The sequence below is a fragment of the Homo sapiens genome, chromosome 2 (genome assembly GCF_000001405.40).
Source record: "Homo sapiens chromosome 2, GRCh38.p14 Primary Assembly".
In the NCBI taxonomy this organism is placed as follows: Eukaryota; Metazoa; Chordata; class Mammalia; order Primates; family Hominidae; genus Homo; species Homo sapiens.
Window position 1 is genome coordinate 241,544,384 of NC_000002.12, and position 24,650 is coordinate 241,569,033.

Sequence of the window (24,650 nt, forward strand, 5' to 3'; positions counted from 1 at the left end):
TTTTGAGAGAGAAGAGAGACCATATTCACAAAACTTTTATTACATTATATTGTCATCATTGTCCTATTTTACTATTAGTTATTGTTGTTAATCTCTCACTGTGCCTAATTTATAAATTAGACTGTATCATAGATATAGATATATACATATACATATAGGAAAGAACACATTATATGTAGGATTCAGTACTCTCCGCGATTTCAGGCATCCACTGGGGGTCATGGAATTTGTCCGCTGTGGATAAGGGGACTTATGTGTAAAGGAATCTCCAACATAAAGGTGAGTTCACAATCAGAACTGCCAAGCATACGAGCTTCCTACTGCAGCTGGAACAGATCACCACAAATGTGGTGGCTTCAACAGCACAATTTACTCTCCCACAGTTCTGGGGTGCAGAAATCCAAAATAGGCCTCAGTGGGTTAGAATCAAGGAGTCGGCAGCGCTGGTTCCTCTGGAGGCCCTAGGAGAGAATTGGTTTCCTTGTCTTTTTCAGCTTCCAGAAGCCACCTGCATCCCTCGGCTCATGGCCCCCTCTCCACCTACAAAGCCAGCAGCAGAGCCTCTCTCCGGCCTGCTCCCACTGCGGCGTATCTCTCTGACCCTCTTGCTTCCGTTTTCATTTTTTCCTTTTTTAATGTATTCCCATCGTTAAGCACTTGCTTCCATATTATAAGGAGTCTGTGATGACATTAGGACCACCTAGATAATCCGAGATAATCTCCCATCTCCAGAGCCTCAACTTACTCATATCATCAGTGTCCCTTTTGGTCCCATATTCACAGGTGCCAGGGATCAGGACCAGGACATCTTTGGGGGCCGTTATTCAGCTACCACACCAAGCATGGAAGACAGCCAAGACAGAAAGGAAACGGCAGCGCAACCGAGGGAAGGAGTCACCCCACTCCCGCCCCTGGGAAACATAACTGAGAAAGCAATTAGGAGACTCCGGAATGTGTGTAGACATCTCGGCGAGAGCCAGGAGAATGCTGTGTGTGCAGAGAGGGATCAGCTGGAGAAAGAAAAGGAACAGTACAAACATGAATTCAAATAAAACGCCACCGTGAAGGGACTGAGTAGCAAAATGGATGAAGATGAAAACATTGACAGGATGAAGACTGAGCCCAGGAAGGCGACTCCGCAGATTGTGGACCTAGAAATAAATTGTCAAGGAAAAGCTGAGAAACACGGAGGTGAGATCCACAAGTCGTCGTCGTAGCCATCCAGCAGGCTTTCCAGAAGGAGGACAGAGAGGGAGGAGGGCAGAGAGGAGGCACCACCCACACACGGACACACAGGCGCACACAGATGCACACTCACACACCACACACACACCACACACATACACACCGCAGACACACAGATGCACACACACACCACAGACAATCGCACAGACACATACATACCACACACATACAGATGCACACAGATGCACACTCACACCCTACACATACACACATACCACAGACACCCTCCCCACATACCACAGACCCACAGATGCACACACACACCACAGATACACACATCACACACACATACCACACACACAGATGCGCACAGATGCCTACTCACACACCACCCATACACACACACACACCAGACACACACCCCCACAGACCCACAGATGCACACACACACATACCACACACACAGATGCACACACCACACAGATGCATACTCACACACCACCCATATACACACATACATACCACACAACCCCCCCCACATACACACCACACGTACACACAGATGAACACACAGACACATGCATCACACAGAAAGACACAGATACACAAGCACACACACAGAGAGACACATACCACACATACAGATGAACACACACATACAGATACACAAGCAAACACCACACATACAGATGAACAGAGATACACAAGCATACACACACACAGAGACACATACCACACAAACGGATGAACACACACAGATACACAAGCACACACACAGAGATACACACCACACGTACACACAGATGAACACACACACAGATACACAAGCACACACACAGACACATACCACACATACACAGAAAACCCAGACATACACAAATACCAGAGACCACCCACCTACACACGCACACCACACGTACACAGAAAACACACATACCACACATACCCACACAGAAAACACAGACACACCACATAGACACACACAGACACAGACACAGACACACACAGGAAAAATTTCCCCAAATTGAAGAGAAATGTAAGTTTTCAGGTGAAAAGGGGAAAACAAAATGTTGACCTGACACATGATAGTTAGTTTTGAAAACTTTAATGATAAAGACAAATCTTAAAACCTGAGAGGGGAATTGTGTCCCCACAAAAAATATGTTCAAGTCCCGCCCCCAGCAGCTGGGAGTGTGGCTTGACTTGGAAATAGTCTTTGCAGATGTGATGAGGTTAATACGAGGTCACCCTGGATTAGGATGGGTCCCATGACCAGTGACTGTTATCCTTAGACAGAGCGGGAGATTTGGACACAGAGACACCAGGAGGAGGCCACATGGTGGGAGAGGCGGACGTTGGAGCCATGCAGCAATGAGCCGGGGACCGCCGGGGACCGCTGGCAGGTGCCCAAGCGAGGAGACGGGCATGCGGCTGGCCCTGCCCTGGAGGCTTCAGAAGAGCACGTCCTGCCAGCACCCCGACTTCTGGACTTCCAGCCTCAGGAACTGTGAGAGAGTAAGTGTGTGTTGTCCTAAGCCGCCAGGTTCGTGTCAGGAAACTAATGCGGGAGGGAGGGAGGAGGAGGAGGGGGAGAGGAAGGCTATGAGGTAAAGAAGGAACACAAATCAGATTGACACGTACAACTGGAGTATAAAGACCAATGGGTGACAGCTTCAAATCTATCCGCAGTCATCATCTTTCAAGCATGAGAGGAATTCCAGGCATTTGCAAACCCACCCGGACTCAGGGAGTTTGCCCCCACAAGCCTGCTTAAGGGAAGGAATGACGGGACAACACTGTCCACGAGAAAACAAAAGGCCCTGGAATGAAGCCACACAGCAGGCAGAGGCCAGCAAAGCATGCACTGGAGTCCACAGGCGCTGATCGTAAACCAAAGAGCGCAGGGCAGCCACGATCCCTGTTATCTGTGTCTCCTTAGCCCTCTCTCCCTCCCAAACCCTCCTACAATAACAGGAAAGGAATTTTAAAAACTTCCCTCTAAAGGAGAAAAGCCCACAAGAAAAAGAAAAAAAGCTGGGGAGGAGACAACAGTAGATGAGAGATTTTTTTTTTTTTTTTTTGGTGGGAGATCGAGTCTCTCTCTGTTGCCCAGGCCGGGCAAACCTTTGCCTCCTGGGTTCAAGTGATTCTCCTGCCTAAGCCTCCTGAGTAGCTGGGATGACAGGTGTGTGCCACCATGCCCAGCTAATTTTTGTATTTTTAGTAGAGATGGGATTTCACCACGTTGCCCAGGCTGGCCTCGAACTCCTGACCTCAAGTGGTCCACCCACATCGGCCTCCCAAAGTGTTGGGATTACAGGTGTGAGCCACCGCACTTGGCAAGATGAGAGATTTTGATGTCCCCCACATTTTAGCCCAAAGCTGAGGAGGGTGACTGACTTAGCAGGTGTAGCTGTCAGCCTCGGTGGAGCTCTGCTGTGGTAACAAACAGCCCTGGAATCCCAGTGGCTCCGGCAGCCCAGGCTGCTTCCTCACGCAGGCACACGCCTATCCCAGATGCTCTGCTGCTGTCTCACACCCCATCCTCCTCCCACTTTACCCCAGAAGCCAGCAGCCCTCCCTGAGACAGAGCCGTCCTGTGCCGGAAAGGGGCACAGCTCCTCAAACGTCTGCTGGGAGGGATTGTCATCACCTGCCCATGCCGCACTGGCTGAGGCACATCAGGAGGCCCAGCCCCAGGCCCACCTGCAGGACACTGTCCTCCTCCCACAGGCGTGGATGACGAGCACTGTGACCACAGCATGGATGAATGGCGGGGCTGGGGCTGGGAGCCCAGGTTGCTATGGGGGACCCACACCCCTTCCCTGCCTCCCACAGCCAGGCCCGATGGCCCTTCCAAAGCTGACAAAACAAGGTCTTCTCTGGAGAAACTGGATCTAAGGGGTTACAGCTGAGGGACACGGGATGGCTAAGGTCTGGGGAGAAGGTGGAGGAGGGGCTGCCTCCTGACTTGTGGCCCCTGGAACCCTTCCTGCACTCGGCTCAGGCTGCCATTGGCTAGACAGGGACCCCCAACCCCAAGCAGGAGACCTCAGGGGCCTTCCTGGGAGATGCTGAACTGCCTGGGGAAAAGACCTCCTTTTGGGGTCCCCGAGAAAGAAGCAGGCCAGCCCCCAGGCTCTACCTGGACACCCCACAAGGAGTTGCTAGTCTTGCTCCTCCTATGGAAAGGCAGGCCTTCCCCCCAAAAAGGAAGGACCAAAGCACACAGAGGAGTACCTGGGGGAAACTGAGGCACAGCAAGGAGCAGTGAAAATGCCACCTACCAAAAAGGTCCCTAACATGACAATCCTCAGAGAGATAAGAGATGACACCTTGGACCCACAGCCAAGCCAATCTGGGGAAGAAAAAAAGGTAAATGCTTTCTCACATTCACAAAAATGGTTCTGAAAACCACTTCAAGCTGGGTGTGGTGGCTCATGCCTGTAGTCCCAGCTACTCGGGAGACTGAGGCAAGAGGATTGCTTGAGCCCAGGAGCTTGAGGCTGCAGCGACCTGTGATGGCACCAATGCACTTTAGCCACGGTGATAGAGCAAGACCCTGTCTCTAAAATAAATACAGAAACAAAATAAAAATAAAAACCACTTCAGTTCCCGGCTGGGCACAATGACTCACACCTGTAATCCCAGCACTTTGGGAGGCTGAGGTGGGTGAATCACCTGAGGTCTGGATTTTGAGACCAGCCTGGACAACATGGTGAAACCCCATCTCTACTAAAAATACAAAAATTAGCTGGGTATGGTGGTGCACACCTGTAATCCAGCTACTTGGAGGCTGAGGCAGGAGAATTGCTTGAACTTGGGAGGCAGAGATTGCAGTGAGCTGAGATCGCGCCACTGCACTCCAGCCTGGGTTGCAGAGATCCCGTCTCAAAAAAAATAAAGATAAAAACAAAAAAAACACTTCAGTTCCTGAGTCCTGATATACGTCCTTTCCAAATACCACATAAAAGTAAAATGAGGCCAACATGAAACACCAAAACAACAAAACACCGAGAAGGTCAGGACAGAGCCTGGGCGAGCAGTGCCTGGTCTCGGGGCGGGGAAGCCCCGTTCAGGCCGAGGCTGCGGAGGATGGGTACATTTGACTCTGACAAAATGCGCAATCTCTGCACAGGAAGAGAAAGAGTTTGCAGTGAAAGTCTGGTGAGAAATATCTGTAGCATTTATAACCAACAAAAAAAAAATTCCCAGAGAAATGGGCAAATTCTCTACCTAGAGATCCCAAGAGTCCAATGAGCAACAGGGGGATGAAACACGCTTGGCCTTACAGGTGGCCTGGGATGTGCACAGTACAGCCACCTGGTGTCACCATTCATCTGCCGGATCAGCAATACTTACAGATTTTGTAATATCGGCCGGGTGCGGTGGCTCACGCCTGTAATCCCAGCACTTTGGGAGGCCGAGGCGGGTGGATCACGACGTCAAGAGATGGAGACCATCCTGGCCAACACGGTGAAACCCCGTCTCTACTAAAAATACAAAAAATTAGCCGGGCGCAGTGGCGGGCGTCTGTAATCCCAGCTACTCGGGAGGCTGAGGCAGGAGAATGGCATGAACCCGGGAGGCGGAGCTTGCAGTGAGCCGAGATAGCACCACTGCAGCCCAGCCTGGGTGAAAGAGCGAGACTCCGTCTCAAAAAAAAAAAAAAAAAAAAAAGATTTTGTAATATCAAGGGGTTGGCAGGTTGCTGCCAGAGGGGGTAGGTTCCAGCCGGGGCAGCTCTATCCACAGTGGAAGAGGATGTGGCTGGCCTGGCTGAGCCTGGACATGAGGCTGCATCAGGACCCCCTGGCCTGGCTGAAGCCCACTCTTCCAGACCCTGCCAGGGAGGGAAGGGGGTCGGTGCATGGGGGGTGCTAAAAGCAGGAGACTGTGGCCCCTGCTTGGCCTGTGGTCACTTGCCCTTGCCTGGCTGCCAGGCTAGTGGACAAACTCTCCAGCCGTGCGGGTTCCCGGCTGTTTACTTAGCACTCATCTGAGTTTATACAAAACCCTTCTGGTCCAAGCTCTGATCCTTCATTAGTAAGAGGAATGAGCTTCTGGGAAAAGTGAATGGGGAGGGGCTGTTTGCTCAGGGAGCCATCTGGGCAAATGGGGCAACAGGCCCACAGGCCTTGGCACAGAAAGTGTATGGTGCCCCCTTGGTCAGGTACATCCCATCTGATCATCTGTCACCACAGATCCCGGCATGAGCAGCAGACCAGGGGCGCGTCCCCCCTTCCAGATGGGGAAGGGGGTCCAGGCAGCTTGTGGGAGGAGAGCCTCCAGCCCAGGGAGCTCCTGTCCCTCTGTCTCTGCACCACACACCTCTCCCGAGGGGGCAACCCGGGTCACCTGCCCTGACAGCAGCTCTCACGGGACCTCGTTCAGCCCGTGCAAACTGTAGGGGTTATTGTGCAGTGCTGCGCCTCCTGGGGTGCAAACAGTCCCTGGCTTTCTGCCCATGGTGGGATGGGGTGCTTGCAGAAGCACCCAAGGGACCCTCCCTGGAACTGGCCCACTGCAGACTCTGCCCATCACCTCGAAGCCTCTCCTTGGAGGGTTCTGATCTGGAAACCAGGGCAATGACCTCATCCAGGGGCCTGGGCCAAGCCGAGAGGGTTTGCAAATTGATGCCCACTTAACCACTTTATTAGCTTCTGCTGCTGGTCCTCTTAAAACATCTCCAGGGCTTGAGGATGCTATAAATTTTTGGTCAAGGATCCTCTGGCAGCCTCACTATGCCAGCATCGGTCACATGGCCCAGCCCTAGACCTCCCAGAGAGAGGCCGGGGCCTGGGGGTGCCTTTTCTGGAGGCGCAGATCATACATTCCCTTCCTTCTAGAAGCAGCGTGAGGCTGCTTTTCTGTGACTCGGAACCAGCGCACCCCATCGCTCACTGCAGGTAGGAAGCATTTCGTTGCTTCATGAAGAAGTAGACATTCTGGGCCACGAGACAGAAGGGGAAGGAAGGACTCCGAGGTTTAGAATAAGCTGGTCTCACTGCCGCAGATGACTTGGGGGGACCCACTAAGGGGGTGGGGGGCACAATAGCAGCAGCCCCTGCTGTTGGCTGAGTCCACTCAGGGCTCACCACAGCCCATCTGCCTCCCAGGCACAGGGAAACCCCCCACGGGAGGTGGGGAGACCTCAGGGGGGTCCCTCCGCCCAGGAGGAAGGCTTGCGCTGGCCAAGTGAAAACACAGGAATCTCATTTTAGTTCTAGTGGGAAGGTTCGACCGCAGCGAGGGTGGGCTGGGATGGTGGAGGTGTCTTGCCGCCCACTTCCTGCCCTGCCCACCCAGTATTCACCTCGGCCACTTGAACCTGGAGTGGGGGTGACCCGTGGGGTGGGGTGGGGGGCGTTCTCTGAGGAAACGCCGGGTGGCAGAGTTTGAAGATGGGGGAAGAATGTTCCAGGAAGAAGGAAAGTAATCTTCGAGGAGCGGGAGAGGAGGCTGCAGAGGCAGGAGGGGCTCTGGTCTCACTGAGGGTGCTGGGGCTGTCCGGAAGGAGGTGGCGCGGCTGGGACGGGGTGGCAATGGCGAAGCAGCCAGGCAGCTGCTACCTCAGGAGCATTTTGAAAGGAGAACGAGAGGTGTGGCCCACCCACAAGCGGCTCCCTCCATGCAGCCTGGGTCACCCCATGCACAGGAACTGGCCAATGAGAATGTCCTGGCCCCACCAGAGACACCAGGCTCTGATCCAACTCAGAATGCGGGACTCCCTCAGAGCGCTGCAGCCTGTCTCTTGCACCCGCAGCACGCCCTGCACTCCAGAGGCTTCCTGCGAGCCGCTTGTGTTCGGCCCCACCCAGTCCCTCTGGCCTCTCCACGCCGCGCCATGCCGGTCCACACCCTGTCCGGCCCACTCATACCATCCACGCCCCTGCACATACTGACAGCTCAGTACCCCTTAGGGGCTGGGCTCAGAACAGACCCTCTAAAGAATGAGGCCGGAGTGGTAGGGCCAGGCAGGACCCACCTATGCCTGAGGCTGCCGCCGCTGCTGAACCCTCCGTTCCCCGCCCCCGTCTCCTGTGTCTCCTTCGTGTCTTTTTCCCTGCAAGTATGTACTTTCCCCTGCAATGCCAGCGCGTTCAGAAACTCACATTCCACTTTTAAACGCTGACACCCATGACAAGCTCTTCCTCAACGGCAAGCAGCAAGCCCAGCTTATAAAGGACAAGCGGTTCGGTCACCTTCCAGCCCATCAGGGATCACCACTGGGAAGAAGCCATGGCTCCGTGGGCCTTTGTGGGCAGGTACTGCCCTCCTCAGAGGCAGCCTGCAGTGACCGGGAGGTGACGGAGGGGTGCCAGCCTGGGGCACGTGCAGACACACACTACCCAGCAGAAAGATTCCGGGCGGCTCGCCACACAACCCTCTGCCTGGTTTTGCAAAAAAAGGACCATCTGAAGGCCACCGGGTAGTGGGTGGAGAGGCCAGTCCAGAGTGAGGTGGCCGGCACAAAGTCCAAGGACTCTGCTGCCACCGACCCCCGTGGCCTGCAGGCTGAACGCCCGCCCAGTCCCACCCACCCCCGGCATGGCATCCCCAGTGTACCTGAGACTGGGTTATTTATTTATTTATTCTGAGATGGAGTTTCACCCTTGTAGCCCAGGCTGCAGTGCAGTGGCACGATCTCAGCTCACTGCAACCTCCGCCTCCTGGGTTCAAGCAATTCTCCTGCCTCAGCCTCCGGAGCAGCTGGGATTACAGGTGCCCGCTACCACACCCAGCTAATTTTTTGTATTTTTAGTAGAGACGGGGTTTCACCATGTTGGCCAGGGTGGTCTCCAACTCCTGACTTCAGGTGATCCACCCGCCTCAGCCTCCCAAAGTGCTGGGATTACAGGTGTGAGCCACCGCATCCAGCCGAGACTGGGTAATTTATAAAGAAAAGAGATTTAATTGGCTCACGGTTCCACAGGCTGTACAGGAAGCATGGCTGGGAGGCCTCAGGAAACTTACAATCATGGCGGAGGGCGAAGAGGAAAGAGACGTGTCTTACGAGGCGGAAGGAGGAAGAGAGTGAAGCGGAAGGTGCCACACGCTTTTAAAGAGGCAGATCTCGTGAGAACTCACTCACTATCACGAGCACTGCAAATCAGCCCCCATCATCCAATCATCTCCCACCAGGCCCCTCCCCCAACACTGGGGTTTACAATTTGACGGGAGATTTGAGCTGGGACACAGATCCAAGCTGTATCACCCACACAACTCACTTCAGGGTCTAGCGTTGCCAAGGGCAACGGGGTAGAGTGGCCTCTACCCCAAGGGGTACCCCTCAGTGAGGGAAGTCACTGGAGACAGGGAGGGGGGCTCTGGAAGCCTTCCAAGACCGGCAGACCTCCCTCCCCACTCCATGCTAGGGGTAGAGTCTCAGATCTGCCTCAGACCCACTGGGCAAAGGAAATGGATGACAGATCTACTCACAGCATCTGAGATTTGCAGCCGGCCAGGGCAGGTGGCTGCACAGAGGAAGGTGCCCTGCTTCTGGGGGGCACCACACATTTGTCACCGTGGGAGGGAGGGCTCAGCTCAGTCTCCAAGGCGGCACAAGGCCACAGCAGCCTTCCAGGAGGACAACCAGGATGCTCCCGTTCTGTGCCGTCAGGGGCTGGCTCTGTATGGCAGGGCCTGAGCCAAGGAGGAGAGAGGACCAGGGTGGGGGAGGCAAGCAGCCGTCACATGAGAGATGAGATAGAGAGGAGCCATGAGGAGGTGAATGGCTAGGCTGGGAGAATCCCAAGCCTGAGGGCTGGCTTGAATTTGCAATGTTGAATGTGGGCATCACTGGGTTATGGACCCCTCTGCGCCCCACTCTGTGACCACACAGCAGCCTTGAGTGAGCAGGCTCTTATGGAAATCCAGCATCCTCCAGGTCACATTCCACAGGAGCTGATGGGGGCCCACCCGCTTCCACACCATCCAGGGCCAGGTATGAGACCCAGGCCTGACTGCTTAACACCTTCCCCATGTCCAGCCACAGCTGGCTTGGAAATGGACAGAGTACAGAAGCTGCCCACCCCAAGGGATCTCCCAGAGCTACCTGGACAGCCCGACTTTTTTCCACTGGCAAAGCCTGAACTTGTGAGGTATATACAGGGAGCTGTGGGCTTTATCCTGCAATTACACCAGGACAGTCTGTCTGAGAGTGGAGCCATCACAGGGGAGCACAGATGGAAAGAGACTCCTGGATCCAGCTATGCCTGAAACCAACCGACCTCTCTCTGGTCACACAAATCAACAAACTGCCCTGTGCTTAAGCCAGTCTGGTGGGCTGGTATCAGCGCTCAGAAGCCCACTCACCAACCAGGGACCGAGTTCCATGCTAGGTCAACACTGGGGCAGAGAGAGGAGTCAGTTGCATGGCAAGAGTGGATGTAAGAGTTCTGCAGAGACAGAAAATCAGGGCCAAAGGTGACCGGAGAAATGTAGGCTCCCAAGAAGTCAAAGCACTCTTGGGAAATTGAGGGCTGGGACTGGGCCTCCTCCAGGTCTCAGTGGACAGGAAGACCTCAGCTAACTCCAGCATGACCCAAGTTTTTTAAGGTCTGAATAAGGGTTTGCGGTCTAGGTACTCCAGATTGCTTAATCTCCTCATCTGCTCTCTTTTTAAAATTTGTTTTAGAAACCCGTCTTTGCTAAGTTGCCCAGGCTGAGTGCAGTGGCTATTCACAGGCACTACAGCCCTGAACTCCTGGGCTCAAGCAATCCTCTTGCTTCAGTCTCCCAAGGAGCTGGGACTACTAGTGCGGTGTCACCATGCTGGGCTTGATCTCTTCATAAACACTGAGGTCATTTTTTTTTTTTTTTGAGACAAAGTCTCGTTCTGTTGCCCAGGCTGGAGTGCAGTGGCATGAGCTCGGCTCACCGCAACCTCCGACTCCTGGGTTCAAGCAATTCTCCTGTCTCAGCCTCCCGAGTAGCTGGGATTACAGACATGCGCCACCACGCCTGGCTAATTTTTTGTATTTTTAGTAGAAACGGAGTCTCACCTTGTTGGTCAAGCTGGTCTCGAACTCCTAACCTCAGGTGATCCACATGCCTCAGCCTCCCAAAGTGCTGGGATTACAGGCATGAGCCACCACGCCTGGCACACTTAGGTCATTTTCAGTTCCTTACTGCTAGCAATGTTCCATATTGAACATCCAGAGACACAGCTTTACCTGGTTTCTGCAGCTCCTGGGATGCAGAACATGTCTATCAATTATGCCCAGTGGCCCACTACCCCCATGTCAGAGCCCAGGAGACGGCTCCAACAGGAGACAGGAAGCAGGAAGTATGAGTTCATTCTGCACAGGAGGAAACTGAGCCTGTGAATGGGGCAGGAAGTTGCCTGAGGCTACACAGCGGGAAGGTTGCAGGTGTGAGCTTCCTGGTCTCCTGCCTGCAAGTACAGGCTCTTCCCCTGACAGAGGTACTTCAGGAACCATGGAGTTAGACCCCAAGGTTTACAGTCTGGCCATGCCCAGTCTTGCAGTGACTCCTTGGGCGAGATCTTTTCCCTCTCTGCATTTCTGTAATGCTATCTACAGGGAATCCCAAACCTGACTGCTCTTCAGAAATCTGAGGCGCACACTGTCCAAGGAGCTCTAGACTCTACATTAAAGAGTTCATTAAAATGCACCCTCAGATTTTACTGTACTACAGCTTTTCTGAAAAAGCAGCTAACAATGACTGAGCACTTACTACATGACATGGATTAAGAATTCAGTCCTCCCAGGCTGGGCGCTGTGGCTTACGCCTATAATCCCAGAACTTTGTGATGCCAAGGCAGGTAGATCACGAGGTCAAGAGATCGAGACCATCCTGGCCAACATGGTGAAACCCCCTCTCTACCAAAAATACAAACAATTAGCCGGGCGTGGTGTCAGGTGCCTGTAGTCCCAGCTACTCGGGAGGCTGAGGCAGGAGAATCGCTGGAGCCCAGGAGGCGGGGTTGCAGTGAGCCGAGTTTACGCCATTGCACTCCAGCCTGGCAACAGAGCGAGACTCCGTCTCAAAAAAAAAAAAAAAAAAAAAGAATTCAGTCCTCTCAACAATCCTAGGAGGTAGGTATTATTATTCTTCCTACTTCCCAGACAGGAAAGTCATAGCAGATAGAAGTTCCATAGCTTTCCTAGCTTCTGGTAATGTTCCTGACAGGTTTCGGTATTAAAATTACATTGACCTCATAAAATGAGTTGGGAAATACTCCCTCATTTTTAGTCTCTGTGCAGGTTTGTATGAGACTGGTGGTATTTTTTTAACTGTTGAGAAGAATTTCTCAATGAAACCATCTGAACCTAGAATTTTCTTTGTGGGAAGATTTTAAATTACAGATTCAATGCATTTAATTGGTGTAGGACTATCCAGATTTTCTATTTCTTTTAGTGTCAGTTTTGGTAAGTTGTGTATCATCTAAAATTTCAAATGCACTGTCAAAAAGTCCTCCATACTATCTTTTTATCCCTTTAATGCTTGTAGTATCTACAGTGATGTCCTCTTTTTCATTCTTGATAGTGAAATTTGTGTTATCTTTTTTCTTACTCAATCTTTCTGGGGATTTATCAGTTCTATTAATCTCTTCAAAGAACCAATTTTTGGCTTTGTTGATTTTCTCTATTTTTTGCTTTATTCCATTAATTTCTGCTCTTATTTTTATTATTTCCTTTCATCTTTAGTTTTATTGTTCTTTTCTAGCTTCTTGAGTGGAAGCTTAGAGCAGTAATTTTATTTTTCTTTTTCCTTTTTTTTTTTTTTTTTTGAGATGGAATCACACTCTGTTGTCCAGGCTGGAGTGCAGGTGGGATGATCTCTGCTCACTGCAACCTTCGCCTCCCAGGTTCAAGCAATTCTCCTGCCTCAGCCTCCTTAGTAGCTGGGATTACAGACACCTGCCACCACACCCAACTCATTTTTTGTATCTCTAGTAGAGACGGGGTTTTCACCATTTTGACCCGGCTGGTCTCAAACTCCTGAGCTCAGGTGATCTGCCCACCTAGGCCTCCCAAAATGCTGGGATTACAGGTCTGAGTCATTTCACCTGGCCTAATTTTCAATCCTTCTTCTAAAGCTATCAAATTTCCTCTAAGCAGTGTTTTAGTTGCACTGTACAGCATTTGATATGTCTTATTTTTCACTGTTCTTGTCAACATATTTTAATCTTCCACTGTGATTATTGACCCATTGATTATTTAGAAGTGTGACATGTAATTTCCAAGCATTTGCAGATTTTCCAGTAATTTTTCTGTTATTGACTTTTAATTCAGAGAGGACACACTGTAAGATTTCAATCCGTTGAGATTTGCTGAGACTTGTATAAGGTCCATGATATGGTCTATTTCGATAAACATCCTATGTGCACATGGGAAGAATAAGTATTTTATAGTGTTGTACACACGTGAATTAGGCCAAGTTGGTTAATCCTATTGTTCAAACTGTGTGAGGTTGATTCAAGGATAAAGAAATAAACCAGTGGGATAGAGTTCCGAGACACACACACACACACACACACACTCTTCAGCTGATTTATGTTGAGATGTTGGGGACTCCTCCAATTCGGTGGAAAAAAAATGATGCTTTTCAATAAATGATGCCAGGTCAATTGGATATCTACACGAAAAAAAATGAGCTCTAGCCCCGTACCACACCATTCACAATAATTAATATGTAATCAATCATAGATCTAAATATGAGCCCTAAAACAAGCTTCTAAAAGGAAATACAGGAGGATATCCCAATAAAAAGGTACTAACCATAAAGAAAATATTGATAAATTGGACATCACTAAGAGTAACTCCTGTTCATCCAAAGCAAAAGTAAACCACAAAATAGAGGAAGATATTTGCAATAACTTCAATAAATGCGAATCCAATAATCCATCTACAATACAAAGGGCATGCGTCCGGACCAAGAACACGTCTCCAGACTCTGGAAAGAACCTCTACGAACGAAGAAGACAACCCAATTTTCAAATGGACCCCGGGGAACACCCAGGCGGCTGGGGCTGGCTCTAGGTCCCCACTGCTCTGCCTTGCGGGGGCCGCTCCGGCCTGGTCGCCTTCTCCGGGCGCATCCAGGGAACTCGCTCGGTCCTCCTTAAGCGGGGAAGCTCGGAAAGCGTCTCCCCGACTCCGCCCCCAGGGTTGCCTTTCCCTTAGAAGGCCAAGCCCCAAGCCCAGCCTCTCGCCAGCTGGGAGTCGCGCGCTGCCCACCTCGCTGCCCAGGCCCCCGACGCCGCGGCAGGAGCCCCCCAAGAGCGCGGGAAGCCCCGTGGACCTGGCGCTCCCGGCTCGGGCGTGGACGGGGCGGGCGCCGGGGCGGGGCGCGCGTCCTCGCGGGTCTGAATGGAAGGGTCGAGGTCGTCGTCGGCGGCGAGCAGATCCTGAAGCCAGAACTCCACCCCGGCGCCCGCGCCATGCGGCGGGAGAGGTGAGCGCGGCGGGCGTGGCGTCCGTGCCGGGGTGCCCGGGGTGCCACGGGAACGGCGAGGCCGGGGACACGCGCGCAGGACGCCAGCGGCGGAGGTGGGCGGCCCCGGGCCGGGGCGGGGAGGGCCGGGTCCTGGCAGTCGCCGTGGGGGACGCGCTGGGCTGTGCCCTCCGCCCCCGCCGCCCACGCACTCGTCTTCGAGGGCGGGCCCGGCGGCCCCGGAGCAAACCGCCGTCTCCCCGCGGCCCCACCGGTCCCTGGCAGCCTCGGGGAATGTCTGTAGCTGAATTCGGGCTCTGAAAGAAGGTGGCGCTGGGTTTTTAAAGATTTGGGGCACAAAAAACGAGAGCGGACCCGGCGCCGGCTACGGCCCTTCCCGAGGGCCACGCCCAGCCCGGCGCCCCGCGCGCCCCGTTCCCCGCGCCGCCTCCCTCCACCCGGCTGAGCGCTTGTGCCCGCAGGTGCGGCGCCCCCCACCCGCGTCGCCGCCATGGAGGTGCTGCGGCGCTCCTCGGTCTTCGCCGCCGAGATCATGGACGCCTTTGACCGCTCGCCCACAGACAAGGAGCTGGTGGCCCAGGCCAAGGCGCTGGGCCGGGAGTACGTGCACGCGCGGCTGCTGCGCGCCGGCCTCTCCTGGAGCGCGCCCGAGCGTGCCGCGCCGGTCCCGGGACGCCTGGCTGAGGTGTGCGCGGTGCTGCTGCGCCTGGGTGAGTGCGCCCTGGTGGGATCCCCAGCTGCGCCTCCTCCCCTGCTGGGCCGCAGCCTCCCTCCGAGGCCGAGATGGGGGTCCGGCCCAGGGGCGCCCACCCCCTGCCTGGGACGGCCAGGCGCTCGGGACAGGGCCACCCAGGCGGGTGCTCCCGGATCTGCCCTCTCAGGCCTCCCACGCCACAGGCCCCCCCATCAGCTGCCTGCTCAGCCCAGATTTCAGTCATGCTGGCCATAAACAATAGAAAGCTCCAGAAAGAATAATCTATTAGTGGGTGGCTAAGCTTCCACAGTGACCCTTGTTCTCAGCTGGGCACAGAAACCCTTTGTAGGAGCACGTGTCCCGATGTTTATTTTGGAAAACAGATTCTTGCTGTTACTGGCCGAGATCCCGCCCGCTGCCCTCTGGATTCCGAGGCCTCCGAGGCCCCCCCATTGGAAACTGCGCCCACCGGGCTGGGTAGCCAAAACCTCAGTATTCGTTGGTGCTGTGAGGACATCTGGGGGTGCTCGGTTCTGGGGTCACACACGGTCCACTGGCTGCCCCCACCGTCTCCAAGGTCTGGACCCAAGAGGGAGGGACCAGCCCCACTGTGACTGTCCAGTCCCCTCACCACAGCTGGGCTGTGGCCGTCACCTGGGAATGTTTATGTGATGCCCGAAGAGGGCACATGGGGCGCCTGTGGCTGAGCCCGGGAAGGGGAGGTGACAGCATAGGTGAAACTGAATCGGTGGCTCTCCAGGCAGGGGGTTGGAGTCGGAGGGCACGACCCCGTGAGGGGACACGCTGCCTCCTCTCAGGCTGGCGCTGGCATGGGCTCTAGGTGGCCCCTGCCCTTACGTGGTGGGCTGGGCCCAGAGAGCAAAGCTGTGTAGACCTGGCCTGCCCAGGAGTGTGTGTGGGGTGCAGACAGAATCCATGGGGACCAGCACAGAGCCTCCAGGAGGAGGTGGAGTCCCATCTGAGAAGTTCAGAAGGAGGGAGAGGTCTCTGGGTGGGAGCTAGGGGGTTGGTGGGGCTCCATGAGATCCGCCGCCTGCTGCTGCCTCTAGTCGGGCTCTGAGAATGACCCTAGGGGATCCTTTTAGTGGCCTTCTGAAAAGATGATGCCAGACCCCTGGAATGGCTGGGAAGAAGTCCCAGATGTCTAGGGGGACCCCAGAGGGACACAGCTCAGACCTGCATCTGCCCTCACGGCTGCTCAGGGTCAGTCCCTTGAGGCCAGCGCTGTCTCCCTGCCCTTGGGCAGTGCAGACAGGAAGAAGCCCGGGTTGTGTCCCCACCTTCAGTCTGGGGCCAGCCTGCAGCAGCCCCGGAGATCTGTGTTTGGGAGCTGCCGGGTCAGTCCTGGGAATTTCCATGTCGTCCCCCGCCCCCAGCCAGCCTCTCATGGGCTCTGCTCTGCTTCCAGATCTTAATTAATGAGATACAGAGCAGCCTTTATCAGCTGGGATGGTCCGGTCAGCAGCATTACCCTGTTTGCTTTGGCTGGAGAACTGGCCGGGCTGCGGACTCCCAATCCCAGGGCCCTGTGGCATTCTCGGCACCATCTGCCCCGTGCCTGTGCGCTGCTGCTGCCAAGGGTGCCACAGGCAGCACTGGGGCGGTGGGCCTGTAGGGGCCATCCTCGGCTGCCAGGGGCAGGGCTGATGCAGTGCCACCTCCAAGCACATCCCCTTGGCAGCAAGAGCCCAGGTGGGAGCGTGGCAGTGAGGGTGGCCCAGGACAGCGGCCCAGCCAGCCCAGGTGGGAGCGTGGCAGTGCGGGTGGCCCAGGACAGGGGCCCAGCCAGCCCAGGTGGGAGCGTGGCAGTGCGGGTGGCCCAGGACAGCGGCCCAGCCAGCCCAGGTGGGAGCGTGGCAGTGCGGGTGGCCCAGGACAGGGGCCCAGCCAGCCCAGGTGGGAGCGTGGCAGTGCGGGTGGCCCAGGACAGCGGCCCAGCCAGCCCAGGTGGGAGCGTGGCAGTGCGGGTGGCCCAGGACAGGGGCCCAGCCAGCCCAGGTGGGAGCGTGGCAGTGCGGGTGGCCCAGGACAGCGGCCCAGCCAGCCCAGGTGGGAGCGTGGCAGTGCGGGTGGCCCAGGACAGCGGCTCAGCCTCTGCATCTGAGTGGTCCCTGAGCCATGCTAGGGCCTGAGCCGGGCTCTCGGGCTGTCCCCTGCTCTCACCCCAATGCTTTCTCTGCCCAGCCCCTCCCCACGTCGGGCTCCCCTGCTCTCACCCCAGTGCTTTCTCTGCCCAGCCCCTCCCCACGTCGGGGTCTGGCCGTCTGCCTGGTCCCTCCTGCTCTGGGCAGCTCGGCTGCCTGTCGGCTGTGAGTCACCAGCAGGCACGGCCCACGCTCTCGCAGGATTCCCGCCCCACCGGCTTGGCCGGCTAGGCTTAGGGGCTGGCTCGTCAGAGGGGCGGGACTGGGGGCGCCTTCAGTACTTCCTTGGTCTTCTGGTCCCTAGGGGCCAAGGTTGGGGGATGGCCCAAGGGAGGTCAGATGGGGTCAAGTGGAGGTGGGAATCAGACAAGTGAGGAACAGGCTGGAATTCAAGCATGGTCAGGTGGGGGTCAGGTGCAGGGTGTGCCCCAAGCCAGTCGTGTCCCAGGAAGCTGGGACGTGGGCTGCCTCTCACCTGCTCTTGTGACCACACAGGCGATGAGCTGGAGATGATCCGGCCCAGCGTCTACCGCAACGTGGCGCGTCAGCTGCACATCTCCCTGCAGTCTGAGCCTGTGGTGACCGATGCGTTCCTGGCCGTGGCTGGCCACATCTTCTCTGCAGGTATGCCCAGCCTGCCCGTCCCATGGGACCTCAGGGAGGGATCCAGGGTCTGTGGCTCAGGCTCACAGGGACCCCACGAGCTGGCCCCCACCCATCCTGGCGCTGCCCAGTGCCCACCGGTGCCATCTCACTGCTGCAGGTGTCAGGAGCTGCCCAGCCACCAGCGTGGGCTCAAACCACAGCATTCAGGGTCTCTTGTGGTTCTGCAGGCTGGTGGGCATGCTGAGCAGCTGGCACAGGCTTCTTGATTGGTTGTAGTTGTGGTCCAGCATCCGTGGGGCCGCGTGACCTGCAGTCCTGTGGGGTGGCACGTCCTAGGGCTGCCTGGTTTCCTGCAGGGGCCCCCGAGCGGGGCTTGGGCTTCTCACAGCATGGTGCTGTGTCCCAAGGAGGAGTGGCAAGGAGCAGGTTTCCCAGACAGCTCCCGAGTAGATGCTGCCAGGCTGTTAGGATATACCCTCAGAAGTCACGGGTAACTCTGCTGGATTCTGATGGTCAGAAGCGAGCCTCAGGGCTCCAGCGTCCAGGAGAGGGGAGAGCATGGGGGTCCAAGCAGACTGGCTCCCGGAGGGCATCCGGAGAACAGCAGCGCATCTCACCTGGCTGTGCCTGCCTCACCTGTGACCCTCCTGTGCGCTCCCATCTCTGCCCTGGAGAGGCATCTCCTGGCCCTGCCTCCCTGCTCCTGCTGCTCCCGGCTGTCCACATGCTTCTAGGCCCACGGGAGGCTTAGGGCTTGTCTCCCCTACTCGGTGCCCGCTGTCCACTTGTCCAGCTGCCTTGGCCTGGATTTGCCCAGTGTGGCTTCTGTCCGCTTGCCCCATGTCATCAGGTCTGGCCCTGCAGACCTCAGCCCCCTGCCTTTGACCTCTGTGACCTTGGGTCCTGTCCTGGCACCCCGTGCTATGAGCTGCCCCTGGGTGTGGCAGGCGCTGGGTGCTGCTGTTGGGGTGAGTGGTGCGCCGGCCCTGATGTGGCACCTCCCTGATTGGCACATTCCTCAGCTGTTTTCCAAGTGCTGTCCAGGTGCTGGGCACAGCTCTGGGCCAGTGAACCCCGGGGTGCGCAGGATTCCCTGAAGCTTGGAGGAGGGGCATGCTGTTCCCCTGGGGCAGTTTTTTGGAAGACCCCTGACAGCAGGGAGGCCTTGCACACCCTTGTCTGGGAGCTGGTGTGGGTCCGTGGCCAGTCAGCTGTGTGACTGTGGCCTGCTGTCATCTCTGTGGCCTCAGCTGCCTTGTCTCCAGGCAGTCCTGACAGCAGCAGGAGCCAGGCATCAGGCGCCAGAGGAAGCCACACCCTCGCTGTGGGAGATGCATCCCACGCCACGGGGTGACCCTCAGAGCCAGGGGTCTTCAGATGGCCTCGGGACCTCCACCCACCGGAGGGCAAGGGGAAGAGGCCAGGAGTGTGAGGACCACTGCCTCTCGCTCAGGCAGACCCCACCTTTGTGGGGTGTCCTCCAGCTCCTCTCCCAGACGTCTCCTCCGACCCCTGGTGGGCCAGCCAGATGGGGACAGAGCGGGGCTGACACCCTCGGCTGGAGGCCAAGGCGGCGGGGGCTGCGAGCATTTTCTGACAGAATCCGGCCTCTCCAGTGCCACGCTTGCTCACTGCTGACCTCCCTGGACAGAAGTTACTGTGGCTGGGATGCAGCGGCGACCTGGCAGGCTGCTGGAGCGGGAAGGCTGAGTCCAGGGATGGGAGTCCAGGCGGGGTCTGGTCCTGCCTCCGGGCTTGTCTTGTTGCCACAGCATGTGCTGGAGTGCCTCAGACCACACCTGGGGAGGGGCAGTGACCTCAGGCTGTGGTGTGGGGTCAGGAGGCGGAACCAAGCTGGGTGCGGGCGAGACTCCCTGTCTGGCGCTCCTGGGGTGGCCTCAGAGCCTGGACTCTGTCACTGCTCCTGTGTTCCTTTGGGAGATCGTAAATGAATCCTCATTGGCAGTTTGGCTCCAAGGCCCCCACGTGGCAGCTGAGGGTGGGGGGCCGGGCCCAGGCCAGGCTGAGGCGTGTCATGGGGCAGACCTGAGTCGGCTGGGGGTGCATATGGGTAGGGGCTGGGGAGTGGGCAGGTGGTGTGGCTCAGGGGCCGGGTGGGCAGGGGGCAGGGTTCACGGCACAGTGGGCAGCGGAAGCATGGTGGCAGGAGCTGGCAAGCTGGTGCCCGCCCCTCCTGCCGCCAGGGTGACCCAGGCAGGCACGGGGCAGGCAGTGGGTGGGGCCCCGGAAGGAAGCCAGGGGTGGAAGGCATCCTGGGCTGACGACCACTCTCAGCCCTCCCTTGGCCGACGCCGGCGCGTGGGTGGCCACCCGGGTGTCTGTCTCGGGGCCGCTGGGTTTACGAGCTGCAGGCTGGCTTTAAAAGGAACAGTCATTTCTGAGAATGCAGCAGCCTGCCCAGAGGTGGGGCGCCTCCCCCTTCGGCAGGGAGAGAGGATGGGGCCAGGATGCCCCTACCCGCCCGGCCTTGCTTGAGCAGGGCCTGGCCTGAGGTGGGGGCGGTGCCTAGGAAGGCTCTGGTTGGTTCTGGGAGGGCACCTGGGGGCCAGGGAGGGCTGAGGGGAAGGGGATGGCTGGACGAGCGGGCACACAGCTGACGGGGAATGTGGGCGGCACCGGCCAGGTGGCCCGGGCTATGTGTAGAGTTCAGTTTAAGTCTTGTTTTCACTGGAAAACCGGAGCCCACTCCCCTGTGGTCAGCATCCCCCACCCCACCCAGCGCCCCAGGCTTGTCCCACGCAGGCCCGGCTCTGGCCATGTGGCAGCCCCCACACCCCCACCTGCTGCTACTCTGAGGCGGCCCTGCCCGAGGGGAGCCACGCAGGTTGAAGCCCAAGAGCCTCGTGACCTGCAACGGGTTTCTGAACCTCCCTGAACCAGAGCCACCTGACTAGGGAGCTAGGGCAGGGCCGCCCCTTCTGCCCCTCAGGCCCACTGGCAGTTGCACCCCCAGCCCCCTTCACCTTTGTCCATCCCAGTCCTCTTGGGCCCTTTTGTCTACAGGGCGAGCCTCCAGCCTCCAAGTGCTTTACACATCCTTGCCTCCCTGCCTGAGGCCCCTCCCACGCCAGCCATCCCTGCACGCTCTGACCCCCGGTCTTCCTCCCTCTCCTCCTCTTAGCAGGCGCCCTTGAGGGTGTGCGCCCTGCCCAGCCCCTCCACTGCAGGCAAGCTGCACAGCCCGCACCTCAGGGCTGGGGCCTTGGCTAGTGTTGTGAGCCGTGTGAGGGCTGCAGGGCAGGGCTCCGTGGGGGTCTCCAAGTCTCCAGCCCCAGGAGACTCCCACGAAGGCAGAGGCCAACAAATGTTGTTTCTGGCTGTTTTCATTTAGGGCTTCAAAGTTCCTGCTCAGGACTTTGGAAAAACTCATCTCCAAAGTGGTAGAACTCAATTTTCCTCCCCATTTAAAAGTTGGCAATAGTGTTTATTTTTTTCTTTGAATTTGAATTGTATTTTCTATAAATACATATGTAATTTTATATAATTCTTCTAATTATAGTTTTATTATAAGAAAAATAAAAATGGCTGGGTGCAGTGACTCACGCCTGTAATCCCAGCACTTTGGGAGGCCGAGGTGGGTGGATCACCTGAGGTCGGGAGTTTGAGACCAGCCTGACCAAAAAGAAGAAACCCTGTCTCTAATAAAAATACAAAATTGGCCAGGTTTGGTGGCACATGCCTGTAATCTCAGCTACTCGGGAGGCTGAGACAGGAGAATCGCTTGAACCCGGGAGGCGCAGGTTGCGGTGAGCCGAGATTGTGCCACTGCTCTCCAGCCTGGGTGACAGAGGCAGACCCTATTCTTTCTTTTTTTTCTTTTTTCTTTTTTTTTTTTGAGATGGAGTTTCACTCTTGTTGCCCAGGCTGGAGGTGCAATGGTGCGATCTCGGCTCACTGCAACCTCCATTTCCTGGGTTCAAGCAGTTCTCCTGCCTCAGCCTCTCGAGTAGCTGGGATTACAGGTATGTGCCACCACGCCTAGCTAATTTTTGTATTGTTAGTATTATTTATATTATTAGCAGACAGAGTTTCACCATGTCAACCAGGCTGGTCTCGAACTCCTGACCTCAGGTGATCCACCCACTTCGGCCTCCCACAGTGCTGGGAAAAAACACAAATCAGACCATGTCACTTCCCTGCATAAAGTTCTCGTGTTGCTGTGACTTCCCGTGTCTTTCAAAGTAAACCTAAGTTTGAATTCCCAGCTGAGCTGGCCCCTGGCAGACTCCAGCCCTTTTCCTGCCACCTCAACCTGTGAAATACGCCAGACACAAAATGAACAAGCCGTGTGATTACACTTATGTGAAATTTTCAGGGTAGGTAAATCTACAGAGACAGAAAGTAAGATGAGTGGCTGCCAGGGGCTGTCGGTGAAATAGGGAGTGACTGCTAGTGGGCATGGGGTTTCTCGTGGGATGATGAAAATGTTCTAGAATTAGATAGAGGTGATGGTTGCACAGCTTTGTGAATATGCTCAAAGATATCCCACTTTTAAAAGATTAATTTTATGGTAATGGAATTATATCAGTTAAAAAGACACAGAAGAGCTGGAAGGACACAGTGGACGCCGAGGCTGGTGCCTCCGGACTCCTGTCTTCCTGTCTTTCTTTCCCATCCACCCCTCTGGAGTGGAAATGTTGCCATCACTCGGAACATAGTATGTTCTTTTTTTTTTTTTTAATTTTTGCTCTTTTGCCGAGGCTGGAATGAAGAGTTGTGATCTTGCAACCTCCGCCACCCGGGTTCAAGCGATTCTCCTGCTTCACCCTCCTGAGTAGCTGGGATTACAGGCACCCGCCACCATGCTTGGCTAATGTTTGTATTTTTAGTAGAGATGGGGTTTCACCATGTTGGCCAGGCTGATCTTGAACTCCTGACCTCAGGTGATCCGTCTGCCTCAGCCTCCCCAAGTGCTAGGATTATAGGCATGAGCCACCGCACCCAGCGTGGAATGCACTGTTCTGATGGAACCGGACACCTCAGAACAGGTTGTCCCGCAAGCCACACGCAGTGCTGACATCAGGCTCCGCTCCCCGCATGGCCGTGCCCTTGAAGGAGGAACAGCCCCACGTGCTGGGGAAGTGCAGCGGGTAGAGCAGGGGCTGTGCCGGGTGTGCGCATCCCACCAATGACAAGGGCACCTTCGAGGTTGGGGTGGCAGGAAAAGGGCTGGAGTCTGCCAGGGGCCAGCTCAGCTGGGAATTCAAACTTGGGTTTACTTTGAAGGACACGGGAAGTCACAGCAACACGAGAGCTTTATGCAGGGGAGTGACATGGTCTGAGTTGTGTTTTTCCCCATTTCTTTTAATTGACGTTAAACTCACATGACATAATTATCCACTTAAAAGTGTGCAATTCAGCAGCATCTGCCACATTCCCAGTGTGGAGCAGCCACCAGCTACTAGTCTCAGGAGGTCTTTATCACCCCAGAATGCCTGTGCCCGTGGCCGCCACCGCCATTCCCCACCCCTCGCCCACTGCCAGCCGTGAGCCTGCGTCCCAGCTCTGTCCCTGACTGTTGTGGACATTTTGCATCCACGGACTCACACTGTATGTGGCTTTTTATGCCTGGCAGCTTCCACCCAAGCATGTGTTTTTGAGGCCCATCCATGCCCAGCCTGCCTCAGAGCCCCATGCCTTCTTTTATTTATTTATTATTTATTTATTTTTTCACTCTATTGCCCAGGCTAGAGTGCAATGGCGTGATCTCGGCTCACTGCAAGCTCCGCCTCCTGGGTTCACACCATTCTCCTGCCTCAGCCTCCCGAGTAGCTGGGACTACAGGCACCAGCCGCCATGCCCGGCTAATTTTTTGTGTTTTTAGTAGAGATGGGGTTTCACCGTTTTAGCCAGGATGGTTTCGATCTCCTGACCTCGTGATCCACCTGCCTCGGCCTCCCAAAATGCTGGGATTACAGGCGTGAGCCACCGCGCCCAGCCATTTATTTATTTTTTTGAGATAGAATCTTGCTCTGTCTCCCAGGCTGGAGTACAGTGGTGCGATCTGGGCTCACTGAAACCTCCACCTCCTGGGTTCAAGTGATTGCCCTGCCTCAGCCTCCCGAGTAGCTGGGATTACAGGCGCCCACCACCATATCCGGCTAATTTTTGTATTTTTAGTAGAGATGGGGTTTCACCATGTTGGCCGGGCTGGTCTTGAACTCCTGACCTCAGGTGATCTGCCCACCTCGGCCTTCCAAGGTGCTGGGATTATAGGCGTGAGCCACTGTGCCCAGCCTGCCTTCTGTGGCTGAGTAACATCCACCACATTTGTATCCATTTATCTGTTGAAGGATACTTGGGTTCTTTCCACCTTTTGGCAATTGTGAATTGGCTGCTGTGAATGTCTGTGACTGAGTGTTTGTTTGAGCTGATTTATGTTTTCATAACAAATCCAGGTTGGCCGCTGTATGAGGGTGGATTGGAGAGCAGTGCTTCATCTTTGCATGTACAGTGTCCTCAGGCTAACTCCCTCCAGGGACCACTGCTGACTCCCTCCGGGGACCGCTGCTAACTCCCTGCGGGGATCACTGCTGGGCTGCATGTTTTGTGGC

General features: G+C 55.7%; 1 protein-coding gene and 2 long non-coding RNA genes across 10 annotated transcripts in view, besides 6 other annotated features; 1 reads left to right on the plus strand and 2 right to left on the minus strand.

The window, feature by feature from the left end:
• Positions 1-14,760, minus strand: BOK-AS1 (BOK antisense RNA 1). Its single transcript, NR_033346.1, has 2 exons — positions 14,394-14,760; positions 1-461 (listed from the first exon to the last, which is right to left on the minus strand). It is a non-coding gene; the product is annotated as a BOK antisense RNA 1 (long non-coding RNA).
• Positions 2,275-8,458, minus strand: LOC105373974 (uncharacterized). Of its 2 annotated transcripts, none has more exons than XR_924069.3 (3): positions 8,301-8,458; positions 5,548-5,675; positions 2,275-2,690 (listed from the first exon to the last, which is right to left on the minus strand). It is a non-coding gene; the product is annotated as an uncharacterized LOC105373974 (long non-coding RNA). The 2 variants fall into 2 exon arrangements; XR_007088385.1 differs by having other exon boundaries at positions 5,548-5,678.
• Positions 2,561-3,094: an enhancer, noted in NCBI's record as "H3K27ac-H3K4me1 hESC enhancer chr2:242486359-242486892 (GRCh37/hg19 assembly coordinates)". NCBI's record gives its function as "activates a minimal SCP1, AML or CMV promoter by ChIP-STARR-seq in naive H9 embryonic stem cells {active_cell/tissue: H9 hESC(naive)}" and the evidence as "EXISTENCE:reporter gene assay evidence [ECO:0000049][PMID:30033119]".
• The window catches only part of BOK (BCL2 family apoptosis regulator BOK), a 22,739-nt gene continuing 5,098 nt past the window's right edge, over positions 7,010-24,650 (plus strand). For 2 of the 7 annotated variants that reach the window (NM_032515.5, XM_011511697.4), the window contains exons 1-3: positions 14,362-14,610; positions 15,072-15,320; positions 17,965-18,093. In NM_032515.5, the coding sequence (NP_115904.1) occupies positions 15,101-15,320; positions 17,965-18,093 (349 nt within the window). In that variant the 5' untranslated portion in view covers positions 14,362-14,610; positions 15,072-15,100. Of the gene's footprint in view, positions 7,095-14,361; positions 14,706-14,835; positions 15,321-15,687; positions 15,882-17,964; positions 18,094-24,650 lie in introns of those variants that run through there. The other 5 variants (XM_011511696.3, XM_047445590.1, XM_047445587.1 and 2 more) reach the window with 5 other exon arrangements.
• Positions 7,082-7,892: an enhancer, noted in NCBI's record as "H3K4me1 hESC enhancer chr2:242490880-242491690 (GRCh37/hg19 assembly coordinates)". NCBI's record gives its function as "activates a minimal SCP1, AML or CMV promoter by ChIP-STARR-seq in primed H9 embryonic stem cells {active_cell/tissue: H9 hESC(primed)}" and the evidence as "EXISTENCE:reporter gene assay evidence [ECO:0000049][PMID:30033119]".
• Positions 7,562-7,800: a silencer, noted in NCBI's record as "fragment chr2:242491360-242491598 (GRCh37/hg19 assembly coordinates)". NCBI's record gives its function as "represses an EF-1alpha promoter that drives an FKBP-Casp9 reporter gene in an ReSE screen in K562 erythroleukemia cells {active_cell/tissue: K562}" and the evidence as "EXISTENCE:reporter gene assay evidence [ECO:0000049][PMID:32094911]".
• Positions 15,025-15,104: a silencer, noted in NCBI's record as "silent region_12543". NCBI's record gives its function as "represses an Ori minimal core promoter by ATAC-STARR-seq in GM12878 lymphoblastoid cells {active_cell/tissue: GM12878}" and the evidence as "EXISTENCE:reporter gene assay evidence [ECO:0000049][PMID:35858748]".
• Positions 15,135-15,204: a silencer, noted in NCBI's record as "silent region_12544". NCBI's record gives its function as "represses an Ori minimal core promoter by ATAC-STARR-seq in GM12878 lymphoblastoid cells {active_cell/tissue: GM12878}" and the evidence as "EXISTENCE:reporter gene assay evidence [ECO:0000049][PMID:35858748]".
• Positions 15,255-15,384: a silencer, noted in NCBI's record as "silent region_12545". NCBI's record gives its function as "represses an Ori minimal core promoter by ATAC-STARR-seq in GM12878 lymphoblastoid cells {active_cell/tissue: GM12878}" and the evidence as "EXISTENCE:reporter gene assay evidence [ECO:0000049][PMID:35858748]".